The sequence below is a fragment of the Homo sapiens genome, chromosome 18 (genome assembly GCF_000001405.40).
Source record: "Homo sapiens chromosome 18, GRCh38.p14 Primary Assembly".
In the NCBI taxonomy this organism is placed as follows: Eukaryota; Metazoa; Chordata; class Mammalia; order Primates; family Hominidae; genus Homo; species Homo sapiens.
In genome coordinates this window covers 10,855,653-10,883,448 of record NC_000018.10, presented here as the reverse complement: position 1 = coordinate 10,883,448, position 27,796 = coordinate 10,855,653, and the positions used below count along the sequence as shown (strand labels likewise).

Here is a 27,796-nt window from a genome sequence, read left to right as displayed (position 1 = left end):
ACAGTAACAATAGCAACAAGAGGTGCTGGTGAGCATATGGAGAAAAGGAAACCCTTGTACACTCTTGGTGGGAATGTAGATTAGTGCAGCCATTATGGAGAACAGTATGGACTTCCTCAAAAACTAAAAACAGAACTACCATGAGACCCAGCAATCCCATTGCTGGGTATATATACCCAAGAGAAAGGAAATTTGTGTGTCAAGGAGATATTTATACTCCCTTGTTTATTTCAGCACTATATACAATAGCCAAGATATAGAATCAACCTGTGTCCATCAACAGATAAATGGATAAAGAAAATGTGGTACATAGGCCTGGTGCAGTGGCTCACGCCTGTAATCTCAGCTCTTTGGGAGGCTGAGTTGGGCGGATCACAAGGTCAGGAGATCGAGACCATCCTGGCCAACATGGTGAAACCATGTCTCTACCAAAAATATAAAAATTAGCTGGAGGTGGTGGCAGGCACCTGTTGTTCCAGCTACTCAGGAAGCTGAGGCAGGAGAATCGCTTGGACCCAGGAGGTGGTGGTTGCAGTGAGCTGAGATCGCACCACTGCACTCCAGCCTGGTGACAGGGCAAGACTCCATCTCAAAAAAAAAAAAAAAGAAAAAAAGAAAATGTGGTACATATGCACAATGGAATGTTATTTAGCCATGAAAAAATAGTGAAATCTTGTCAGGATAGAATTGGAGGTGATTATGTTAAATGAAACAAGCCATGCACAGAAAGACAACCATCCCATGTCCTCATTCATATGTGGGAGCTAAAATAATGGATCTCATAAAAATAGAGTAGATTGGTGGTTACCAGAGGCCAGGGAGGAAAGGAGAAGGAGGAGATGATGGGAAAAAATGTTTTAAATGAAAACCTTTGCATAAAAAAGAAAGAATTGTCTTTCTGATAACATGCTTCCTGTATTTCATATGTTTGAATGTAATTGTATAAAACGAAGTTAATATATTAGATTTTTAATGTCCTTACTAAATACAATTTGTCAATTCCCAAATGTTGTTTTTGAAATATTACTAGTTGAGATTAAAAGATTTGAAACTAGAAAGGAAGGCAGAAGTCAAATGCAAGAAGAGGCAGAACAGTTCTCTCAAGTTGGGCCGGGGGTAACTGGAGAAAGGCCTTGGGTCACTGAATTTTTGTCATTATTTTTCTTAAGCAATAAGAAAGTATTTCTGAGGGGATTTCAGGATCAAGAGAGGCCACTGTGGCCTTCTCCTGGCGATAGTCCTGCCATGGTCACGGAATCAGCCAAGTAAACACATGGGGAGCTCTCGGATGCCTGGAGAAGGTGACAGGATGAGAGACGAGTGGATACTGTGTATGACCTTGTCCGTACCTAAATATTGCCCTCAACAAGTTAAGAAGGCACACATTAGTTTTGATTAGGATACGTGTAAAAGAGGCGGGTGAAAATTCAAAGTGATAGAAACTGCATCAGCAGAGATCTGGATGTTGGAATGACTCTGTCACTGTCCTGGGATGATGAGGAGCCTGGAAGAAAGAGTGTCAGTTTAGAATCAGCAAGAAGTGAGATTGAAGATGGCAAAAAAAAGAGTACTGTCGTGGGGCTGATCACCAGGCTGAGGGAGGACTTTGGATTTGGCGCTCTAGGTTTTGGGGTATTTTTAATGACTTATCTAAGAGAGTCACAGGACAAAAGGAGTGAGTTTTATTGTTTTGGAGTTTTTTGTTGTTGTTATTCAATTCTTTTGTTTGTTGTAGTCGTTCAATAGCAGCAGTTGTGTGTTGGTAAATGTTTAACAACTGGCTCTCTAGGGAAAAAAATACTGATTTGCAGCATTTATACCAATTTCCATGATCTGATGCTCCCACTGTGGTAGACTCTAAGCTAGTAATAATCTTTCATGGAGCACAGAATTGGGAAGAGTCAGTCCCAGGCAGTTTCAGCAAACTCCTGAGGAGCAGAGTGCATAAAGGCAAGTAAGTGATGGTCCCCTTGGCCCGGCATCCTACTCTCACCTCTGTGAATGCCCTCCGCCAAGGCCAGGGAGTTAGGACTCTTTTAACAGACCTGCTGCCTCATAAATAACCAGTATACCCTTTTAGGAGAATAAAGCACTGTGTGTTCCAAATGGAAATTAGCAACTCTCACAGTGAGGTTAGTAGATTCAAATACTCAATCCGTGTGGCACTCACACAAATCCGGCCACCAATGTAAAATACATCATACATACATACATACATACATATCTATATATCTCCTGAAAATCCAGCAACAATTCATACCTTAAGGTAATTAGATATCTGCGTTTAATGACTGTTTTGTGGTTTAAAAAAAGGTACCTAATTTCACAGAAACAAGCTAACTGTTTGTTTTCTCTAATGCGTCATTAACTTTGGAATCCCTTGATTTGAATATTGGAAGTGATTCTCAATAAATGTTACATTTCCTTCCAGAGTTTGTAATCTAAACCTTTCTCTATTTACACCAAATATATTAGTCTTGCCACACACATGACTTGCTATATGAGGTCAGATATTAAATAAACATAGTCTCTCTCTCATATCAAAATTATATATATATATATATATATATATATATATATATATATATATATATATATATATGATATGTGGGAAGCAGTTGAAATGGAAATCAGGGGTCTTACCATTTTATTGAGTTTTTGCTATTTGTCTGCCTTTAAAGTTATTGAAGCCAAGTGACTAAAGACACCTGCATCAGAGTCATATTTAAGTTTAAGACAAACAAAAGTAGACTATCTCTCAGCGTGTGAACTTCAGAAGCCACTAGGGAACCATCTTAACAGTTCCTATTTGTTTAAACAATGCTCATTTGACATTTTAGTCATGTTGTTGTAATTCAGTTGAAGGTGACCTTTCCACCAACTCTGATTTGCCCCCAAAAGTTGTTCTTTGTGAACTTCTGAAGATGACTGTGATGGTCCTCTCACCTGGATGCCTCACAGCAATACTCCAACATTTTTCTTCTTTCCTGGTCTCATCTAAATTTCATTGCTGCCTTATTTTGGGTATTCATGGTAGAAATGAAATTTTGGAGTTGGAAAGATCCTAAGAAGTCACTTTGTAAGGTGAGAAATTGAAACTTAGAAAAATAAAGTAGTCTTCCCATGAGTATCCACCTGTCTTGCTTCTTCTCTGGTCTTTGACAGGAGAATGGCAATTGAATTTGATTAATAAATTTATCAGACCAAATTCAGGCATGGCCATCAGTGCCTCAATTGGTCATTATCCCAGTCAAAGTAATTGGTGTAGTATCTTTCATATTCGTTCTACACAGGAAAATATAAGCAGTCTGACTGTTGCAGCTTTTAAAAACAGTCTGAAGTATTAAAGATACACTTTTGTATCTACCAACCAGCTTTCACCAAGCTTAAGAACTTGAGCATTACCAATACCGTTAATTGTATCCCTCTCCCCTGCGCTGAAATAGGTGTTTGTCATTTTTATAGTAGTTTTTATGCATGAAACCCTAAGCAATCTATATTTTGCATATTTCTCATTTTTTTCACCATTATGATATACACTCATATTCACAGATGTAGACCTGGATCACACATGCACTTGTACTTATTTATTGCTGTGTAGTATTTGATTTGATGGATATGCCATAATTTAATGCCTAGTCTCCTCTTTATGGACAGGTAAGTTATTTAGAAATTTCAGCTTCCTTGAGTTCCTTTCAAGGGGTATAATCACTGTCTGAACAAGTAAGATCAGTATGACTCTAACAAGATTGGAGGCTGGGCACGGTGGCTCACGCCTGTAATCCCAGCACTTTGGGAGGCCGAGGCGGGCAGATCATGAGGTCAGGAGATCGAGACCATCCTGGCTAATATGATGAAACCCCGTCTATACTAAAAATACAAAAAATTAGCCAGGCGTGGTGGCGGGTGCCTGTAGTCCTAGCTACTCAGGAGGCTGAGGCAGCAGAATGGCATGAACCCGGGAGGCGGAGCTTGCAGTGAGCCGAGATCGCACTACTGCACTCCAGCCTGGGCAACAGCGCAAGACTCCGTCTCAAAAAAAAAAAAAAAAAAAAAAGATTGGAAAGGACTCTTTTGCCTGTTCGAGAGAACATGAAGTTTGAGGTAGTTTAGTATGTGCTTCCGTGTAAAACACGTCATTGTCATGCACCTGGAAAACAGTGCAGCTTAGGTCATTTTATGGGAAAATGGACACATTGGTCTCACTGATTTATTAAAATGGGACTTCATCTACACAAAACCTGGTTAGCCTGATTCTGTGCAGAATTGGCTTGAAATAAAATTTAATTTATTGTTAAATGCCCTGTAGTGTATACTTATGATTAGGTTAGAGAACCTTACACACATATTTATGCTATGCACTGTCCCTGGATAATCTAATTTACTCTCTTGACTTTAGCTAACACATGTGAGAAGAAAACTCTTGAACCTACCTCATCAGCCATGACTTTGCTCCCAGGCACAAACTCCATGTGGCTTTCAGTTTAAAGTCTCACCTCTGCACCTGAAAGTCCTAACCACACCTGACACTCATTGTGAAAACACCACCTGCACTACCAGCAGCCACGTCACTGTTTCTCCTGTGGCCTTCATTTCCTTGGGGATCATGTTTGTCCTTTGCTTCAGGTCTTTCTGTAGTTCTGGTTATGTGATTTTTTTTTTTTTTCAAAACATCCAAGCTTTGTATGGTCTGACCTTACCCTGTGTTTCTGACTTTACTTCCTTCATATATAACTTCACAACCAATACTCTGTGCTTAGAGACAGTGTCTGGCACATAGTAAGTGCTTAATAATTTTTTTGAATTAGTGAATTAAAAATTCTGTCAAATTGAGCCATTTAATGTTCATTAGATACACTTCATTTCTTTTGTTTTTGAAATATTTTCTCCAACACATTTATTTAATAACTATGAACATATGTTTTAATGAGTTATAGCTTCCAATTTTGACAATGAAATCTGCATGTGCAAATAACTGAAACTTTATTTGTAAACTCTCTGTGATCTCAATGCCATTACCAGGCAACAGTAATGTTCCCTCCTCTTAGTGTTTGTGTATTATCTTCCCCGAGCTGAATTACAGAGCTCTTTATGGTAGGTGTCTCATCTAATTCTTCAACAGTGCTTTGCACAAACTATCATGATAAAAAGAAAAGAACAAATATTTGAAGAGGCAGCGATATGTCCTGGAGCTAGCATGCATCCAGCCAGCCTTTACTGATGGTTTACACTGCACCATCTACCATGCTGGTCCCCAGGGAAACAGATGAAACAGGCAAGGGCTTCTGTTAGGCAGATTGGTAAATCAGTGAGTGACACAGTGTTAAACATCTACTGATGGAGGATGTGGGAGGGATGGCGGTCCATTCTATTCTGGAATGGGTGTGGAGGGGCAAGGTAGGAAGGGCTTCACAGAGGAGACATGGCAGGTGTGTTTTTAGAGATGAGGAGAACCTGAAGCATACTGGGAGAAGTTGGCCAAGGGAGAAGACTGCACACTTGCTCAGAGGGAAAACACTGGCGCGTTCTGGGTACGTGCATTCAGTATGGCCGGAATTTGAGGTAGAGGGAAATGATGGCAAGAGATAAGGGAAACCAGATCTGGGATGTGGAGGGCCCCTTGTCACGCTTAGGAATGTGGATGTTTCCTGGGGGCCGTGGGGTTGACATGATCAGCTTTATGCTGCTAAAAACTAAACTCTGATATTAATGTGGAGGCCTGGCTGGCAGAGGGGACAACCTGAGATGAAATCATCAGGATGCTGCTACCGTCACCCAGAGGCCAGACCGGGCTGTGGGGATAAAGGGGAGGGCTGGGAAAGGAGACGTTAGAAGTCAGAATCTCCTCCAGTCTTTCAGTGAGAGAATGGAAGCTTCCAGGTTCTGTTTTGGTCACTAGGTTGATGACAGCCGTGTTTTCCAAAATTAGGACTATAGGAGGAAGAGCTAATTTGGAGTAAGAATAACACTGAATGGAAAATCTATGGGATACTGAAGTACAGATATCCAGTAGGAAAATGGATATATGCTAATGTTTCTCAGCGGACGAGTTGGACTGGGCATTACATTATTTGCCCTTAAAACCATTTCTTAAAAATTTAATCTAACACTATTTCATTCTAAAGAGCTAGTGTTCATGAAACAGCTTTTGGGAAATGGTGTGCTAGAAAATGTTCATTGATCTGTGATTCTGATTGAAATGAATGGATAAGTCACCATGTGGATGCTGATTAGGGCCTTGGGGATGGATATCATCCAGGGTGATCTTGTAGAGTGAGAAGAAAAATAAATGAAGAACAGAATTTTGTGGACTCATCAACAATTAAGTAGGACGTAGAGAAGAGTCTGGTGGCTACAATACAAGTCAGAATTTCTTAGTGGGGCTTCCCAGCAACATGAGTTTTCATGGATATTCATAGGTAGGTAGAGAATTAGAAGAGAGTGTAAGAAAACCACGGGAACGGAGATTTGGGAGTAGAAGGGGTTGGTCTTGCTTGTCAAATGCAGCATGGAGGTGGAATGTGATGAGAATTGGAATGGGTCACTTGGGCCTTGCAGTTGGGAGAGCAGGGGCAGCCCCTGAGAGGGCATTTTCTGAGCAGTGGTGGGTTGAGGAGGCCTGTTGCATTAGGTGGATGATGGGCAAGGGGAGCCCATGTAGTGAGTGTTGGCTCCAAACACAAAGTGAGAAAGTAAAAAGCCTGAGCTTGCTGTCAGGCTCTGTCTCCAACTGTGTATTTGAACCAGGCATTCAAAACTCATTGGTTTCCACATTCTGTAAGATGAGGAAATGGACTAGACTATTTCTAATTCTCATCCAGCTCCATAATTTCAATGACTGACTTAGTGAACGGATGGGTAGTTGGGTGATTAGATGAGGGAATGAAATGAGATTTACCGACTTCCAAATTATTAAAGACTTATTAAAAACTAAATGTATAGAGAAGGTAGGTGTATAATTATGTACATTAGTATAGTTTCCAAATTATTCATTCATTTCAAAGAGAAACAGAGACCAAGGAAGATTCTGTAGCCCAGCACTTCCCAAAAGCTGCTCCTTGCACACTAGCTCTGTCACATGTAATAGTCTTAGAAGAAACTGGTAAGAAATGGTTTCCAGGTCAAATAAATGTAACTGTTTTACTACAGAACTTCTCAAGTCTTTTAGTATAATAGTATGCATTGTGAGTTTCTCACATTGACTGGACCAATGACTGTTTCTTTTTTCTCTTTTGTCTTGTTTTGTTTTGTTTTAATGGAATGCATTTCTGAGGACTGGCATTCTGATGAACGTACTTTAGTAAGCACTGAAGAAGGAAACACAATTGATAAGATGGTCTCCAAATGACATATCAGTCAGACTATGACCTGTTTATTGTGCATACTTTTCAAAAGTATCATTGTTTCTGCAATGGCAGTATTATGAATGCACTGCTTTGTTAACTCAGCAAGCCAAGAGTAGTAGTTAATAGTTTAGCACCTCTATGGCTGAATGATTCCATTCTAAGTAGGGGTCGCAGCCCAATTCTGGATTCAGTAGCTAAATTCTATCACAGCAGGTGGAGTAATTGCTTTAGCAAACTACATTCATTTATTCCCTTAATATATGTGTGTTATAAAATGTCTCTTTTGGGACCAAGAAGCACAAAGCTGAGACTGTTGCCTCAAAGTGATGTTTGCAAATTGGGGCTTAATGCAATCCACAGGTGGGAAAGATATAAGGCTCTGGCTTTCCTGCTCTGTCTGTTGTGGTGTAAGAAGCAGCTGAGGCCACAGCTGGAGTTCTTGTTACTTTAATATAAGAAGTCTTTTTCTCTCGACTGTACTTGGATGGTGCTTTTCATAAAATGACACAGTCAATTTGTTTTCCATGAAAGAGCTATAATAATCGATTGCCAAAAATCCACCTGAGTAGTACCAACCTACTACTACTCCTGACCTCAGCCCCACACCGAAACAGCCACCCAAGCCTGGCCTTTTTTCTTACTGGTCTCTTTTCTTGATCCCCATTTTTTCTCATTCCTTGATCCCCATTTTTTCTCATTCTAATGGTATTAATTCTAGTTTACCCTTTTCAATCATGTTAGGTAGACTTTAAAAGTATACAATGAATCTCTGCAATTTTCCTATGATGAATTCATTCATCAGATTTCATTACTATAATATAAATGTAGTTTGGATGAAGCTCTCTTAATTGGATTTTCTTACTCTTTCTCCAAATGAAAGGAATTTGCTGTATTTTAAGACCTTTAACACAAGCATTTTTTTAAATGGGGTAAGAGTTTAGAGGCGATTTGTAAAAATTAAGCTTTCACAGGACAGTTCCTCTTCCAGATCATTTTTTAAGTTGATTTGTAATAATTGTACATATTTTGGGGTACATGTGATATTGGATACATTCATACAATATAAAGTGATCAAATCAGGGTAATTGGGGTATCCATCACCTCAAACATTTACCATTTCTTTGTGTTGGGAATATTTTAAATCTTCTAGCTATTTTGAAATATATAATAAACTATTATTAATAATATAGTCATCCTACTGTGCTATTGAACATTAGAACTTATTCCTTTTATATAACTCTATTTTTATTCTCATTAACCAACTACTCCTCGCTCCCCCTTCCTGCCATCCTTCTCAGCCTTTGGTTACCACCTCTCTGTATTCTCTGCCTCTATGAGATCCACTTTTTTAGCTCAGACATATGAATGAGAACATTGTCTTTGTGTGTCTGACTTATTTCACTTAAAATAATGACCTCTAGTTTCTTCCATGTTGCTGCAAATTACAGGATTTCATTCTTTTTTATGGCTGAATAATATTCCATTGTGTATATACAGCATATTTTCTTGATCCCTGATTCTTGAGTGTTGATGGACACTCAAGTTGATTCCATATCTTGACTATTGTGAATAGTGCCGCAGTAAATATAGAAGTGCAGATATCTCTTAGATATACTAATTTCCTTTCTTTTGAGTATATACCTAGCAGTGGGATTGCTGGATCATATGGTAGTTCTATTTTTAAGTTTTCGAGGAACCTCCATGCTGTTTTCTATAGTAGCTACACTATTATACATTTCCACCAACAGTATACAGGGGTTCCCCTTTCTCCACATCCTTGTCAGCATTTTTTTTTGTCTTTTTGATAATAACCATTCTAACTAGGGTGAGAGGATAACTCGTTGTGGTTTTGATTTGCATTTCCTTGATGATGAGTGATGCTGAGCATTTTTTTACATAAGCTGTTGTCCATTTGTATGTCTTCTTTTGAGAAATGTCTATTTCAGTCATTTGCCTGTTTTTAATTGGTTGTTTATTTTTACTATTAGATTGTTTCAGCTTCTTATATATTCCGATTATTAATTCCTTTCAGCTGGATAGTTTGCAAATATTTTTTCCAATTATCTAGGTTGTCTTTCCACTCTGTTGATTATTTCCTTTGCTGGGCAGAAACTCTTTAGCTTGATATAATCCCATTTGTCTACTTTTGCTTTTGTTGCCTGTGCTTTTGAGGTCTTACCCAAAAAAATCTTTGTCCAGACTAATGTTCTGAAATGTTTCCACAGTGTTTTTTTCTAGTAGTTTCATATTTTCTTCTAGTAGTTTTATAGTTTTCTTCTAGCAGTTTTCATGTTTTCTTCTAGTAGTGTCATAGTTTCAGGCTAGACCATTTTTTAAAGCAAATCTGATTAGATTGAAGATTGATTCCTAGGAGATCCTAGATTAGAAGACTCTTTAATTAAGTTTTAATTTTTATGTATATTATAGTAACAAATACGTGGAAACATTCTATTTATAACAGTAGTTGACTAGTTAAATACCGTCTGTCCATTAGTATGATGATATATAAAAATAAATCATCAATGAGTTGTAAAAATGTTAATGACATGTTAAATGAACAAATCAGCTTGCAAACAGTAGGTAAATAATGAACTTAGTTTTGTTAAGTATAAATGTGCACATCCATGTATAGAAGGAAGATTGGAAAGGAAGGCCATGTGGATACATACATGGGAAAGCGGTTGAAAGCATAAAAGTGAACGTAGGGAGAATGGAGTATAATTCTGTTCTCTATGTGGCTTTTGGGAAGTTAGATTGCCTTTTGAAGCCTTAGTCTTTTCACGTGTAAAAGGATAATAATGCCTAACTCAATATGATGGTTGGTTGGATTAATTAATAATGTGTCTAAAGCTCTTAGCACGAAGTAACTGCTCAGAAAATGGTAGGTATTATTGATAACTTTTATTTTCCAAAATATTAACAGTAGCTATTTCTAGATGCCAAGGTTCTTGCTATTTAATATTTTTAAATATTTTCACCAAAATATATAATATATAATGTAAACGAATACAGTGTGTAATCACTTAAAGTGCATATGAATATGTATATATGTGTGTATGTATTTACATGGTATATTGCCCTATCTTTTGCTTCCTTTCCCTAAGTAAGTTGTATCTCTGATAAACATTTTTTCAAAGACTTAACCCTCCTTTGAAGTTCTATGCTTGATTTTTCCATGGATCATCTTATCTTCCCCAGAAGTTTTAATGCTGGTACAGACTCTTGACTCCTCTACCTGTATCCTCCCTATTTTAAACTCATTTTGTAAACCTAAGTCTGTATAACTTTTTCTTCATATCACCTAGTCATTTCATTAGCTTTTTCTTGTTACAGCTTATTTTATATTATATGAGTGAGCAGAGAACATGCCGGGAATCGCTCTTCATGTGGCTTTAATAATAGTAATAGGTACTGTGGTTACAGCACTACACATCACTAGAGCACTGCAAGCCCAGTTGCTCAGTGTTGCAAAGGCACACAGGGCAGGCATCTAGCACCGGATGAGGGACATGGCTGGCCCGTGTCGTGTGCTGAATGGTGTGAGAAGTCTGCCAGTGCCTATTAAGCTCTGGTGTCTTGCAGCAGAGTGAGCTTAGCCAGAACACATTTCAGCTGAGGTGATGTGTGCTGGCCAACTATGCTGGCAACTCAGTATACTGCCTCTCATTCCCATATTCATTACCACTGGACGCCTCCCAAAATCACAGATGGCGTTTGTATTACCTTCCCAGACAGATCTCTCCTCCTTTTCCAGTTGAAGCCCTTTCTACTCTCCACTTCACCTTCTGGCCTTTGCTGCCTGCTATATTATTAAATATATTTGTTTCAGGATCTCAATTATAACAAAAATGCCCTATATGTGTGAAAATTATCTAAGTGTCAATTGATGCTGCTCTTCTCAAAATGTAGGCTTAGTGAAAATATGTGTTTCATTCTTTACAAAGAACTTTCACGAACATTATTTCATGTATATGTATTTATATTTTCTTCTAAAACCGTGACCTAGTATCTCATGTCACTTGAACAAAATAAGGAAGGCAAATAGTATTACTTCCTCAGCACAGCAGAACAGATGGCTGTGAGAAGCCCCCAGCAGGATGCAACTACTAAGTTTCAGACTTGGACTTGAACTCAAATCTTCTAAGTTCAGTGTTGTTTCTCTGGGATTAAAAGAGAAAATGTACTGGATCCACCTTTCTTGGAACAATACAGAAGACAAAATCAACCAAGTATACAAAATAATGAAGAGGTCCTGGATTCCAGGATTACTTTAACATTTTCTCTATTTTCCTTGTATCTTTGACTTATATCAAAAGTAAAATATCTTCTAGCTGCTAGTATGTATTTAGTTTTAGACTGCTTCAGCTAGATTGCAAACAACTGCATTTGTACTGGACATGTGGTTTATTTAACAAAAACATAGTCCATTAGGACGTTTTAGGAGTGAGGATTGGTTCAAAAGTTCTTTATAATATTTCTGAAACTCCAGGGAACACTGGAATCTTCCTGAATGTGTAGATTTTGTGAGACACTGAGGTCAATAAAAAGCTTTCTTGTACCTTTTAGGGAGAAACGGAGCATCTTTTATTTTAAATCATTAAGAAGACCAAAACATCCTATAAGGCAGTTTAACCGTAGAAATATAAGAACTAAATTTTTTTCCCCTCCCCTTGTTTTTCCTTTATAGCTTAAAGGGAGCTGATGCTGGCAATGGGATCAGAGTGTTTGTACCTGACATCGGGATGTTCATTGCTAGTCTGACCATCTGGCTCCTCTGTAGAAACATTGTTCAGAAACCTGTGACAGACGAAGCAGCACAGAGTAACCCGGAGTTTGAAAATGAAGAATTGGTAAATCCAACTCCATGTCTCTTCCTTCTTTGATTTCTGAGGACCTTGACCCTTAATAAGTTGCAGAACTATGATAATAACAGCTGAGCATACAGAGCACGTTATGATTCACAGTGCTTGACATAAACGTTTACTGTCAAATTGCATGACACCCTCGTGCAGTCCCGGTGGGCAGACACTCTGGTCCACACCTTAGCCATGAGAAGACAGGCTCAGGGGTGTTCATAGGTAAGGGCCAGGCTTTGACCCACCACCCCAAACTATCACGTGATATTATCTCGGAGGCTAACCGTGCAAGGTCATACATAGTGTTATGGTTCAATTGGTCTGGGTACCTTAGTTATTGCAGAATATTTAAAGAAGTAACATCTGGTAGTTTTAGGGAAAAAAATGAGTTCCTCCTTGCAGGGCAGCTTTCCAGTCTGTGCACCTTGTCCTGCTCAGTGGACTGGTGTTAACTTGGCATGCTTTGATCAAGTTGTTTTAAAGCACTCCAAGGGGGAAAAACATACATATTTGGAAAAGTGTGAGAATTTTAAAAAGGTAAAAATAATGAACGAGATGTATGTTTGCTAGCTGGTTGAAAGGTTTCAGGAGCAACTGCTGAATTGGAAGCTTGTCCTATTTTCGTCCTTGGGTATCAGAGCTGTCAGACGGCTCTCACGCTGCCCCCTGACCAGCCTCAGGACACTGTTATGTTCTAATAACTGTACTTTGTTAGGTGAGGTTAGGAGACATCAGTTTAAAGAGTAATTGATTTATTAGTGGAAAGATAACATTTATAAAGGAAAAAGTGACTATTTTATTTGGACATTTGATGCAAAACGCTTGCAAGTACTAAATGTTTTCAGTCATAAGCTTTGGCAAGATATTACACTTATAAAACTGAAGTTAATTGAAGTTACTTATATTGAGAATGTTAACCGATGAGCCATTGAGGGAGGAAAATTCTCACTTATGGAAAATGATTTATATGGTTCACAAGAAAGCAGACAATTTCCTTGTATGCTTATTTAAAAAACAATAAAGGAGGGATAGAATTCAATAAACCTATGCAAACTAGAAATGATATTGTCTAGCCAGGCACTGTGGCTCAGACCTGTAATCCCAGCACCTTGGGAGGCCCAGGTGGGCAGATCACCTGAGGTCATGAGTTCGAGACCAGCCTGGCCAACATGGTGAAACCCTGTCTCTACTAAAAATACAAAAATTAGCTGAGCGTGATGGTGCTTGCCTGTAATTCTAGCTACTCAGGAAGCTGAGGCAGGAGAATCACTTGAACTCAGGAGGTAGAGGTTGCAGTGAGCCGAGATCACACCACTGCCCTCCAGTCTGGGTGACAGAGCGAGACTCTGTCTTAAAAAATATATACATTGTCTAAAATTCTTATGGGTAAAAGATATGCAATCACCTTGCTTATCAATATTCTGCTATTTTTAAGGCAAATGTTAAAATGATGCTTGGTGTAACAGTAATTATAGTAAAGTCAAAGTCACTACTAACCACTTACATCTTACTTTCAAGACTTGACACCATAAGGCATGCATTAGTGCCCTAAAAACGGAAGAGTGCTTCTTCTTCTTGTTGACATTCCAATTGTAAGACAGAGGATTTAAATTTTGACTATTTTTTACATTTACAGTTTGAAAATGACTTTATTTAAATAATCTTTACCAAAATTTGCCTAAGTTTGGGGAAAGTAAACCAGTAACTCACATTCTTCAGACTGGGTATTTGTTATTTTTATGATTTATAAAAGCAAGTTTTTGTTTGTTTGTTTGTTTGTTTTTTAACTTAAGTTCTGGGATTCATGCGCAGAAAGTGCAGGTTTGTTACATAGGTATATATGTGCCATGGTGGTTTGCTGCAACCAACAACCCGTCATCCAGATTTCAAGCCCCGCATGCATTATTATCCTCATAAATAATAACTATAGAAGGAGGGGAAAGGATAAGTATTGAAAATTGAGTGGACTTAGAAGTCAGACATGGAGGCCGCCTAGTGTGTGATGCTGAGACAATTGTTTCTTCTCTTTCTTCTTCTACAAAAGAGAGACACTAATACTATATCACCTAGTAGTTGTGAATGCTAAATAAAATTTCTAATAAAAAGCACCTGCCACAGTGCCTGCTCATTTTGCTTGCTTAGATAAATTGCTATTTGCTCTGCTCATTTTGTCCTTCTCCAATTTGAGAGGTAGTAGTGCAATTTCAAATTCCAATGTTCCTCTTAGAATTATTGAAACTTAAATGGGAAGATATTTTGAGGCCAACCCACTCAGTAAAAGAATCTCTTCTGTGCCATTCATAACAGATAACCATGAAAGATTTACAAAGCTTCTTATAAAAATAACTTACATGACCAAGGACAAATGCTGTTTGCCATAGGACTAAGAAAGCCTACATTGATCAATAAAAAGCCACGGCTGTGAGGTCATGATGAGGTGCCATTCATCTGATGAAGAAAAGAACACAATGCAGTCACATGGGTTAATTCTAAAGTCACATTTTCTTCCTGATTTCAATTTTCAGAGATAGATTTAGGATACTTCACTTCCATTTGAAATTTGCTTGAATATGTAAGCCTTATGTATTATTAATCACATTATTTAAAGATAACAATAAGATGGACAGATACTCTAAACATTATTTATTAGGGACATTGAAAATACTAAATATAATTATGGAATTATTTTCCTTCTCAGTTACATTTGTTTGGGGCTATTTTACATCATTGATTTTTATTCTCTTGTCACGTTCCAGCCCATCAGGTAGCCCAGGAGGAACAGGGTGGTGGGTGAATCTTCTTAGATTAATTCACAAGGAAAAATTGCTTCCATGTGACAATCTGGACTTGAATCTGAGAGGAATAAAAGTACCTGGCCAAAATAAGCAGGGAATTTATTTTATTTTTGACACCACAGCATATTTCCTGCTGCTTATAAATCTTGGAGTTTGCACTCTAGAATGTTTGGTTTTTAAGGATACTGAAAGAACAGTGTTTGCTGGCATTATTTCTTCTTTCATTTATCTCAGTGGAGAAATGGCAGGATTAATCTGCTGGTGCCTGTGAGAATTCCTTTTCAAAAGCGGTGTTGTTTTAAAGCAGCAACTAATCCGTGGGGAAGACTCTTGGGTCTTCTGTAATCTTCACTGATTTGATAAGGCTCAAGTTTGGTGTTTTAAAGGTGTTCACAAATCCAAGGATTCCCCATAAAACCCCCAGTGGAAGTGGAGATGGCAGTGCAGTGGGAGCCTGTGCCTTGCTCCTGCATTTTACTGACAGCCAACTTCAGCAAGGAAACCCTTCTCCTCAAATGTCATCAAAGGTTCTTTCTCAACTGACACATCTGTGGTCTTGCTCATTTGTTCATTTTAATTCAGAAGCAGATCTACAAATCAGTCATAACTGGGAGAAAGTTTCCTGATCTGAAATCTTAAATAAGAAGAGTTGTATTATGAAGATTAAATTGAGTAGAAAAGAGTTATTTACATAATAAAACAATATATCATTTCACCAAACTGACATTATCTTATATAATCCTATGCTTACAATTCTTTCTAGCTATTATATGAGATTTGAGGCCTTTCTTTTAGATAGTATTTTAATGTATTATTAAGCCAAATTCTGATAGATCAAATGCTTATTCAAATAGGATTTGCAGTTATGACTTAGCCTGTGTAAAGAGGCAGCTTCTTAATAGACTGACAAGTCAAATATGAAGGATAAAAAGAATATTCTATTATAAGTCATCCCCATCTGCTAAAAATTCAGGGATGCAATATTAAGTCCTGCTAAATTTATTCTGGACCTCAAAGATTTTGCACCCTGCTTTCTAATTCCTAGTGTCTATTAGCCTGTCACAGCATCTGCATTCTAGCACATGACATGACCAAATGGGCTGTGCTTCAAGTCTCAACTCTGAGGTTCAAGTTGCTGTTTTTTTTAAAGAGCAAGAGACAAAGACTGAGAGAAATCAATCATTTTGTTGTCTTCTAGTTAGGCTTTCAACATGTGCTCAGTTCTAGCCTGAGATTTAGTCTAAAGTCTCCAGCTTTAAATTTCCTGGATCCCATTTCTTCAAGTACACAGACATGATCATTTGAAACATGGAACCATTCAGAATGGTAAGAAGCTGAACGGCTGCCCAGTTGCCTTGCAAACTTTGCACTTCATGACTTAGTGTGAATGGAAAGCCTTCTTTGTTGTTGTGCTAAAGGCTGTCACTGCCACTCTTAGTGGGTAAAGTGGGCGACTCCCTTTGCTGGTCCTTAAGGTCACTTTCAGAAACTGGGCAAAACTTCCTGTCATACATACCTCAAAATGTCGGACACTTGGTCTGCCTTCTTGGGGAAAACACTTTCACAATTTGGACAAAGGTTTTACTCCTAGTAGTTTTAGATGCCATTAGTTTCAGTAGAAGAGACGATTTTTTATTGTAGGAAGTCATGGATCTATTTATTGTCTTCTGGAAAGTTTTGGTATTTATCACAGACTAGTTAACTTTGAGTCCATGACTGACTTTATTCCCCCAGAGTCTTCCAGCCACATCCCTGGTCACCAGGTGAGAGCATGGATGCCCACTCATCCTGTCCTCTGATACCAACACACCTGTGGAACAGGCCCTTGGGACAGTCAGTGAGAGCCACCTTCATTGCATACAAAGGCGGCCAAGTGTGGTGGCCCACACCTAAAATCCCAGCACTTTGGGAGGGCAAGGTGGGCAGATCACGAGGTCGGGATATTGAGACCATCCTGGCTAACACAGTGAAACCCTGTCTCTACTAAAAATACAAAAAATTAGCCAGGTGTGGTGGCGGGTGCCTGTAGTCCCACCTACTCAGGAGGCTGAGGCAGGAGAATCGCTTGAACCTGGGAGGCAGAGGTTGCAGTGAGCCAAGGTCACGCCACTGCACTCCATCCTGGGTGACAGAGTGGGACTCTGTCTCAAAAAAAAAAAAAAAGGCAGGGATATTATTATTGACAATATGTTCATTGAGTGGACATTGCCTAGCATGGACTTGAGTATACAACTCATAATAAAAATGATTTAAATAATTCGCAAAGAGGAAATCAACTAAAGTATCTTTAAACTATTTAAACGAAATGATTACAGATTAATCTTCATTTTTATTTCGCCCATTTAATTAATTTAGCAACATTTAACAGCATGTACCTCTTCTCTGCCTTTTTCAAAGAATCAAAGCTCCAAAAACGCCTTTCACCTTTAACTATCTTTTTAGATCAATATTTTTACAATTTCTTGGAATATGTTGTTCTGTCTTTGCAGCATTTGATAGGTGATTTCATGCATTTGAATTGCAAATAACCACAAATACCCCATGGGAAACTTGTGTGAGGCAATTGCAGAGCCCCTGTGTTCCTTTCTTGGGGGGTAGAGTAGAGCCTGAGATGAAAGGAACCAGAGTCCCACCCCTCATGCTATCCATCCCAACTCCAGAGAACCTGCATCACTCAAGGAATCTCAGTCACTTCTTCGTACTACTTTCCTCCTTTAAATTGTAAATACCCCTGAAATAGAATTTCCACCCACTTAATGTAAATAGGTTCCCCATATTGCTTTGAAAATATTGGTCATATGTTTGGGAGCGGGAGACACAGCTCCTTCCCCTACCTCCACTCCTTCTTCCCACTGACTTACCCATCAAGGTTAATAGAAGCTCCATCTACCCAGCTGCTTGAGCCAGAAACACTGATGTGACATGGATTTCTTGGGGCCTTTGTCTGTCACCACCAACAAATCCTTTGAATTATACCTTCAAATTCTGTCTGAAATCAGTCCACTTTTCTCTACTCACTGCCACAATCCTCACCAAGCAGCCACTGCCTCTCAGCAAGGCCTGAAAATATGTTCTAAATGGATCTCCCCACTTGAGCTTCCCTTCTTACCCTATCCAATTGATGCTGCACACAGCATCTGGATTATTCTTGTATAATTAAAATTAAATTATGCCACTTCCCTAGATAAAACACTTCTTTGGTTTCCCATTAACCTAGAATAAAATTCAGTCTCTTGACCTTGATGCTCATGACTCTGCATGGTTTGGCCACATCCTGCCTTCATGTCCTCACCCTGTGCTTTTGCCCCACTCCCTCACTGTGCTGTAGCCACCCTGCCCTTCTCTCTGTGTTTGGCTAGGGTAAGCTCTCTTCCTGCTGGGTCTCTTCCAGGCTGTTCAATCTCATGTAGATGTCTTCTCCTCACTCTTGTCCTTCTGGACTCTGCTGTACAGTTTGCTCTTGTGCAGATGCTCTTCTCCCGACTCTTGTCTTTCCGGGGCTCTGCTATGTAGTTCACTCTTGCACGGATGCTCTTCTCCCCACTCTTGTCCTCCTGGGGCTGTGCTGTGTACTTCACTCTTGCACAGATGCTCTTCTCATTCTTGTCCTTCCGGGATTCGCTCTTCAGTTTATTCTTGCACAGATGTTCTTCTCCATCTTGTCTTTCTTGAGCTCTGCTGTGTAGTTCACTCTTGCATGGATGCTTTTGTCCCCACTCTTGCCCTTCTGGGGCTTTGCCAGGGCACACTGATATGTAGGTGAACTGCTCTTGATTGACCATTTCTTGCTAGGGCTTCAGAGAAGGATGCTTTTTTATCTATGGGCATGTTTATTTATTCAGTATATCTTTACTGAGAGCCTACTATGTGCCAGGATAAACAAAAACTAATATTTAACAAGAACTATTTTTTGTTTTCTTGCTTTGCTTGCCAAGACTTTTGTCCTTTTTTAAAAAAATCACATTTACCTTGGGAATAACTAGAGTAGGTCATTCCAAATCCCTTTAGTCAGACGTAATCTCTTTTTTCTCTCAATGTCCTTAGGACCTTATATTCTCAATTTATAAGTAGTTATATCTTCCCTGAGTGACTACTGGGGTCCCTCAGAAAACCACTGGGGTCCCATGTGGATTTTCATTTGTTATCCCACCCTGGACCTAGCACTGTGCTTGGAGCAGAGCCCAGTCTTGGTTAAAAAAGTGCTGAGTGGAGGGAGGGATAGATGGAGGAGACAGGAAGGAATACTGTTGATTCTGAAACAGTACCTTCTCTGCTCAATATTTTGACACCTTCATATCAAAGATGTGAGTTTTGTTTGCATCTTAGTCTATCACAAGTAATTATATGGGTTCTGAATCTTTCTGGAAACTGTTGAGCACCAAGAAGGAATTGTACATCCTCAAAATGCTGCCTTTGTCATCACTGTATAAATTTTTTATTTTTGGAGTGAATACCAGGGTGAATCATTTAGAACAGCTACACTTAGCTGGTTCCTACAAGAGAAAATAGGTGGTTCAGGATGAGTAGTAATCTCTGGAACTAATGTGAACTGAGTGGATGATATAGGTGTGTGTGTGTGTGACTGCTGATTTGTTTTGATTGTGTTCCATTAAGTGATTTTTACAAAAATATCTTAAAGAAAAAAGCCTTTAAACAGTCAATTGTATTTGGCTAGTCTCCATTATTGTTCATTTCCCTTTCAAATGATGTTCAGATGATTCTTAAAGACTATTGCCATTCTAAGTAGGTGAATTAACCTGGGAAGTTTTAAAAAAGTTCAAGTGCAGGGTCAGAATAGTTCCCAGACCTATGAAGTCAGAATCCTAGGGGTAGGGGAGTACATGTGGTAGGAATTGGACTAGTTTTTTCAAAGCTCCACAGATCCTTTAGGCATTGGTCTAACTGGCCACTGTCTGCTGATTCAGTTTGTCCTTCCCTGTTCTTTATTAAACTTTCATTGCTTTGTAGATGGTGGTTGAAAGCAACATCTATACACTCACTTTTCCAAATGAAATAGGGACTGCTTAAGCTGATCTTAGGAGTTTGGAAGAATAATCTTCCCAAAACAAATGTAGCAACAGAATAAAATATTTGCTTTATCCATTAAATGCGATCACGTTAGGCTTGCATAAGGTACACACAATAGCATTCAAACACATCTATCTTTTTTTCCCTCACTGCTTCCTTTCACAAGGGAACCCTGGGGATGAAATTCATCTTCTGCAGTGAGTCACAACCTTGTCTTTTCCTTCCTCTGGCTCTTGTATTGAGATGAACCCATTCTGTTAAGATAAATTGTTAACTTTTAATAATAAACAATGAATAAACAATTGATGACACTTCAGAAAAATGCTCCTTTTGCCTCCCAGATCTTTTGGCTCATTATACATGACTTTGATACACTTCTATAGAAATGTTTTTAAAAGCTTGGTTTTAACCATGAAGAAGAGAAAAAAATGGATTCAGCTGCATGAAAAGCTCTGCTCTGAGGTCCAAAGCTCGACTGAAACCTAAAGGAGGTTCCAGAGATAATTTATTTCAATCTATTTTCCAAATAAGGGAGTCTGCTAGGATATGATTAAAAAAATATATTTTCAAATTGTGCCTATTCAGCTGAACCCCTATGGAGAATTCATTGATCAGTGGTTGCCAATGTCGGCCAGGGCCTGAATTCTGGAGGGGCTGCTTCAGGTCACCCCAGAGAGTACTTTAATCATACAGCTTCCTGGAATTCATTCCCATAATTTCTGATTTAGTAAGTTTGAGGTTGAGCCTGGTCATCTGCCCTCTTAAAGGTCCCCAGGTGATCCTTAGGATTTATTCCAACCCAGTTGGATTTTTAGAGTGCTTGGGAGTAATGAAACATGGATGTTTGTGTCCTACCAAAAGTGATTTATTGTGTCTTCTTTGTCCAAAATTGAGTGGAAATCATGGTGGATGCCACGGCTTAATGGAACCAGTACTGCTGTAGGGTGAGAGGATGTTGTGGGATGAGATGCAGAGACGCAAAGGTTTAGATCCCGTCTCATTGTGGGATGAGAGCTTTGTGTTTAGGCCCTCATTCAGGGCCCTAACAGAGAACAGGCTGGCCTTGTGTAAAGTTGATTCCATAGCACCTAAAGTTTCCTTATGTGAAATGAGAGATCTTACACTAATACATGTTATCAAATGTTGAAATCAGCAACTTTTATCTATGTTTTCCAGTATTCTATTATTTTTATTTTATTTTTAACTGACTAATAACTATTATATATATTTATGGGGTATATAATGTGGTATTTTGATACATGTATACATTGTGGAATGAGCAAATCAGGCTAATTAGCATATTCATCATCTCAAATACTTATTATTTATTTGTGTTGAGGACATTAACATCCTCTCTTAACTATTTTATTTTTTATTATTTTGTTTTATTTATTAATTTTTTTTTTGAGATTGAGTCTCATTCTGTCACCTAGGCTGGAGTGCAGTGGCGTGATCTCGGCTCACTGCGACCTCTGCCTCGTTGGTTCCAGTGATTCTCCTGCCTCAGCTTCCTGAGTAGCTGGGATTACAGGCGTGCGCCACCATGCCCAGCTAATTTTTGTAGTTTTAGTACAGACAAGGTTTCACCATGTTGTCCAGGCAGGTCTCGATCTCCTGACCTCAGGTGATCCACCTGCCTCAGCTTCCCAAGGTGCTGGGATTATAGGCATGAACCACTGTGCCCGGCCAACTATTTTGAAATATACATTAAAAACTACAGTCACCATGCAGTGCAATAGGTCCCCCAAAATCATTCTTCATGTCTAAGTGAAATTTTGTACCCCTTGATCAGCATCTGCCCTTTCCAGGTCCCTGGCCTCCTTCCCCAGCCTCTGGTAACTACCCCTCTACTCTCTACTTCTATCAGTGCAACTTCTTTAGATTCCACGTATAAGTGAGATCATGCCGTATTTGTCTTTCTGTGCCTGGCTTATTTCAATTAGCATATTCTTCTTTAGATTTATGCATGTTGTTGCAAATAACAAGATTTCCTGTTAAAATCATAAACTTTTAAAGAGGTGAGATAAAGGACTTAAATATCTTTAAATAAGTTTTAGATTTTGACATGGTCAATAATCTGTATAATCATTTATTTGACTTTTTAAACTGTAAAGAGTTTATTTTGTCTTCAGTTTCTAAGATGACTCAGGAACCAGGGAAGTTAAATCTTTATTTACAGCCTTTCCTCCTCCTTAGCCTCAAGGCCAGATTGAAGTTCTGTTCCGCTGCAGGGACAGCTTACAGCTCCAGCAAGCAAGACTGCCTGTTAGTAAACATGCGAGAGTGAGTCCATGCTCTTTCAGAGGTTCAGTGTTTATACATCAGCAGAAGAATCACTTTGGGGGAAAAAGCCTGCCTGTTAATAAGCCAGCCTGACGTGACTAATGGCAGTTCTGGCCCTGACCTACCAGGACAGTAGGGGCTCACAGAGTCTAACCCGTCTCGCTCTTGGCTCTCAGCTTGGCAAATTTAAAAAGTATTTCCAACCGACAGCCCCAGGGATTTCTGTATAAAAATGCTGAAAACCCTAAAGTACAGTGGTATGTTTATAAAAATCACAAAGGCCCAATCCTTCCTAAGACAGGTCAGGGAAATGCATTTGTATAACCTCACAAAGACATCTTGATCAGAGATTTCTATTTGATTTAATCTACATCCGTAGCAATTCTATAATTGAATAAGAACACATTTATTATGAAAGTCACAAGTGTGTTTCTGACTGTGACCCAGGAGGCCCTTGCTGTGTTCTTTCTTTGGCTTCTTTTTCAAGTGCAATGACTAAAGGTTTTGGCCAAACTTCCTTCCTAGAGGGAGATTTTAAATGTGTTGCTCACCTGTTGTGATGGGGAAAGAAGCAACAGATGCCTGATGAGCAGGTCATTTGTGTGTTGACGATGGTGTGGGTGTCCTGGCGATAGCTCTGGTGGGTGGATTTCTTTGTGGGGAGATGGAGTAAGCTGAATGGAAGAGCTGCCCTGGGACCCGGGCCTTAGGAGCTGGAGAAGGCATCCTAAGGGGTGGGAACAACCTGTCCCACAGCAAAGAGGCAAAGAGAGCTTGTGGATTATGGATTCTGCTAGTCATTTCTTGCAAGGAATGCTGACAGGCAAGGAGATGGCATAGATCTGGAAAGGCAGAGTGGTCTTAGGGGCAGCAGCACCTCGAGGAGGGCCATCTCTGTATTCCCTCCAGGTAACCTCAACAGGCTACTGACGTTTAAACCATCATATGCTGGCGAATTCCAAAAAGCCCTCTTCAGCTCCAGCCCCTCTCCAACACTCCAGACTCCTATAATAGCTGCCTACTGGATACCTCCAAGAAGAATGCCTGAATGGGGTCTCAGAACTGAATTTTCAAAACAGAAATGTGGACTCTCCGTCTCCAATCTGCCTCCCTCCTGTCTGTCCTCCCTAGACAAAAATAGAGGAGCTACCCTGATTATCATCTATCCTTCCTCCCCACTTTAAACTTCCTAGCTGCACCTACTAATCTAACCTCCAAAACAGACTCCAAAGACAGGATCTTCACTTCAGCCCCACCACTCCCTCCCCTCTCCTCCAGCACAGCCACCACCTCCCCGCTGCTGCCTCCCTCTGCTCCGCCCCAGGAGCAACTAGAGTTATGTGGCAAAGCAAATCATGTGTGCCTCTCATTAGACGGAGTGGTTGAAGATCAAAGTCTGATTTGAGTAGGTTCAAGAGAAATTAGGTAGGGAAGCATTTTTACTCTAAATGGAATGGTGAGTCCAGCCCACTCTGCTGGAGTGTTTCACCTTAAGAGACAAACGTGGGTTGAAAGGATGTGTTTCTTTAAGGTGAGACAGCAAGGCGCCCTTGCCTGTTAACAGGGGTGATCCAGCAGAAAGAAAGCACATTGTGATGCAGGAGAGAGAGCCAGGATGGCTGGGCTGTTCTCTCCCTGGTGTCCTGAGCAGATGGGATGCAGTCATCATGGCTGGAGCATATGCAGCTTGTCTTGTTACAGGAGGAGGGCAGAGTGCGTGCGTGGCAGGCCAGCTGCAGGTGAGTGGTCTGATGTACTGGCTGGAGCTGGCAGCTCCTCTCTGGGAGCAGTAGAAAGCAAGGTCATCCTCTGAGAATGAGATGGGAATTGTTCTCTAGGGGAGCGGAAGTGGCCACGGGCCTGGGGACACTTACCCTCTTTCTGCACATGCCACCAAGCCTTGGACCAGCTCTTTCCTCCACCCGGAATGCACTTTGCCAGGACTTTCACAGGGCTGGTAACTTTGTGACATTCAGATCTTAGCTTAAATGTCACCTCCTCAGAGAGGCTTTCCTTGACCTCTGAATCGGAAACAGCCACCCAGTTTATCACTACCACATCACCCTATTCGACCTCCCTGAAGGGGGCATTCATTACTGTGAGATATTTAGCTGGTTAATATTTTACTTGTTTACGTGTTTATTGCTATATCTCTTCCTATATATGCTAGGACACACTAGGCCCTGTATGGGTAGAAAAATCTTATTGATTGAGCATGAGATGTTCCTTTTGCTTCAGAAAAAAATATACAAATGTGTCATGATGAAATACAGTAGAAGTCAAGTTGAAGTGGCCCAGGATTAAATCCCTGTGGGTGTGTGTAGGTGGGTGGAGGGCTGGCTGGGTGCATCCTGTAGCCTTGGCTCATCAATAGTCAACTCCAGTCACCCACTGTGTGCACCCTTCTGGGCACACAAAAGGCCTCTGAGTCCTGAAGGCCGCTTTACGCTTAACTAGAACTTGGCACTGGCACTCCAGTCCCTGCCTTCCTCCCGTGAACTTGGTCATAGTAAGAGGTCAGACACCGTCAGTGAATATTATGTAACTATCTGACCTAAATATATCAAAAAAGAACCATTAAAAATGGGAACATGGAGAGGCCAGACCCTACTCTTTAAGTCTTAAATAGATGCCTGAACTGGGCTTAACAATTCTTCTTAGCTTTGTGAGACTAAAGATATGAAGTCTGTCAGCCTAGAGAAAAATGCACACAAAGTTTCATGCATCTCAGACAGACTCCTTTTGCCTTAAGGTGATGGCTTTATTTATGATTTATTTTCTTCTTTTCTTTTCTTTTTTTTTTTTTTTTTTTTTTTTTTGGGTTGAAGTCTCGCTCTGTCGCCAGGCTGGAGTGCAGTGGCACAATCTCGGCTCACTGCAACCTCCGCCTCCCAGGTTCAAGCAATTTTCTCCTGCCTTAGCCTCCTGAGTAGCTAGGACTACAGGCACGTGCCACCACACTCAGCTAATTTTTTGTATTTTTAGTAGAGACGGGGTTTCACCATGTTGGCCAGGATGGTCTTGATCTCTTGACTTCGTGATCTGGCCGCCTCAGCCTCCCAAAGTGCTGGGATTACAGGAGTCAGCCACCGCACCCAGCCACTTATTTATGATTTCTTTAAAAAAAAAAAAAAAGAAAGAAAGAAAGAAAAAAGAAAAAGTCGTAACCCTTCTAGGGAAATATTCTAATTAGCCAAAGAATTTTTCCCATTTATTCTTTAAACGCAAAACGAACAAGCAAAAATGCCTTAGCATACCCAGTTTAAAATAATACATGGAAATATGCATATGTTCTGGTACATGTGTTTACTCCCTAAATCTCTGCTTAAAGCACTTAGGTGCTGAGCTGCCGAGGCTTGAACCAGCGTATCATTCTCTAAAAGGATGAGACAGGAAGCAGCTCTATATTTAGCCAAGAGAAGCCCGGGACCACTCATCCTTCCACAGTCAGGAAATATGGAAATAGTGAACAAAGATAAACTTAGAAAAAAACCAGAATTTCCTAAGCATTGATTGGACTCACCTTTCAGTCGAAGCTGTGGATAGTTTTATCAAACTTCTTATCACCTTGGTGGCCAACTCTGTAAATTTGAAGATCCAAACCCAGATCGATCTAAACTAAACTTGTTAATAGATGTTTCAGAGAGTTTCTTCTTTGCTTATTAAAAAAAAAAAGCACAAATAGGGAATATGACATGTTATTAGGGACCCTATAATTGTTATGTTTACTTCTTCCAGAAAGATCAGAGTTACTTGGGCTTATACGGGGATTATCAGAGACCTGAGGGGAATGAACTGGTTGTCTTCCCTTTTTTCCTGATCTGTGAAATTCACCACGTTGACTGACCCATGAATTAGAAGCTCTATAATCTGCTGGCTGGATAGGCAGGCTCCTGGACTTGAGTGTTTCCTGTTTGTCATTTATTTAGGCTGAAGGAGAAAAAATTGATTCAGAAGAGGCACTGATCTATGAAGAGGATTTCAATGGAGGAGATGGTGTTGAAGGCGAGTTGGAAGAAAGCACGAAGTTAAAAATGTTCCGCAGGCTTGCCTCTGTGGCCTCTAAGCTCAAGGAGTTCATTGGCAACATGATCACCACTGCTGGGAAAGTCGTTGTTACCATCTTACTGGGCTCCTCGGGTGAGTGTCTCCCACACTGGCTGCACGTAGCAAAAGGCACAAGCAGTGCTTTGGTGAATGAGAGAAATGGTTGAAGAAGAAATGAAGGAAACAGTCTGTTCCACCACATGAATATCATAACTGTAGCTCTTGTAAAACTGGCCACATGTACAAACCACACAAAATAATTTTTCCGGGTTAGTTCTAGTTTTGATGTTTTTAGATGGTTTCTGTTAACCTCTGCAAAATAATCTTTTTCTATATATGCTAAGCGACTCCATTTTCTAGGTTTAGATTAGAATAACAACAATCCTCTTCCTTAGAGCTTTGGAATGGTGACCTGCTGCAATTAACAATGTGCATGCACCCATCACAAGCCATATTGTGGGTTCTGGAGGTCTGTCTGCTTACATGAGTCCATAGTCACCTTAATATAACTCTCCAGGATAGACTATTTTTCTTCCTAAGTTAGATTGTAATCTTCCAGCACAGACGCTCACTTCCTTTAAATTTTGGACTTGGACCGCTTATTCCATAATAATGTTATCTTGATCTTTTCCCTCCTTCCATTCCACTGCTCACCACTGCCCCGGAGCTATGGGAGGCGTATTAGAGTAGACTCAAGCAAACTGCAAAGATGCAGCAACTTAGCTGTTTTTTAATAGTGGGAAAAATGGGGGAAATGACAGTAGAATTTCTCAAGAAATAAACCACAACATTTTAATGAGGAGTCCTTTCAAAATGCCCAATAAAACAGACTCCTTTTGCCCTAAGGTGATGGCTTTATTTATGATTCCTTAAAAACACTTTTAAAGGAGTTATTGGCCAGGAGCAGTGGCTCATGCCTGTAATCCGAGCCCTTTGGAAGGCCAAGGAGGGAAGATCACTTAGCCCAGGAGTTCAAGACCAACCTGCGCTACTTGGCAAAACCCCATCCCTACAAAAAATAAAATAAAATAAAACAAAACAAAATAAAATAAAATAAGCATGGCACAGTGAGAGTTTAATTGGCCAGGATGTACTAGTTAACTTAAAAAAAAAAAGTAGTAAATTATTATAAAGAAAATGGTGTCAGGAAAGGTTGGAACAGACATACAGATACATGAATTCTTGAAAATTTGGGAGAAGTAGAAAGATGGAAACAGGCAAGTAAATATGCAGATGCTACTGGTATGAAAAGTAGACATTTACTTAGTTCAGACGCCACAGGTGGAATTTTTTTAATCATCTGGTATATCTTTGTATTTATAGTTATCATTTCATATGTGACTTTTTCACAATAAATCTAGCATTAATTTTTATTATATAAATCAAACATGATTTTTAAAAATTACTATTTTAAAAAACCTAAAAACACTTGAAGGAAATT

General features: G+C 39.6%; 1 protein-coding gene across 11 annotated transcripts in view, besides 1 other annotated feature; it reads left to right on the top strand.

Moving 5' to 3' along the window:
• The window catches only part of PIEZO2 (piezo type mechanosensitive ion channel component 2), a 479,323-nt gene that overhangs the window by 266,121 nt on the left and 185,406 nt on the right, over nucleotides 1-27,796 (top strand). For all 11 annotated transcript variants that reach the window (XM_047437735.1, XM_017025918.3, XM_047437736.1 and 8 more), the window contains exons 5-6: nucleotides 12,034-12,196; nucleotides 26,238-26,448. In XM_047437735.1, the coding sequence (XP_047293691.1) occupies nucleotides 12,034-12,196; nucleotides 26,238-26,448 (374 nt within the window). The remainder of the gene's footprint in view (nucleotides 1-12,033; nucleotides 12,197-26,237; nucleotides 26,449-27,796) is intronic.
• Nucleotides 4,518-4,747: an enhancer, noted in NCBI's record as "active region_13085". NCBI's record gives its function as "activates an Ori minimal core promoter by ATAC-STARR-seq in GM12878 lymphoblastoid cells {active_cell/tissue: GM12878}" and the evidence as "EXISTENCE:reporter gene assay evidence [ECO:0000049][PMID:35858748]".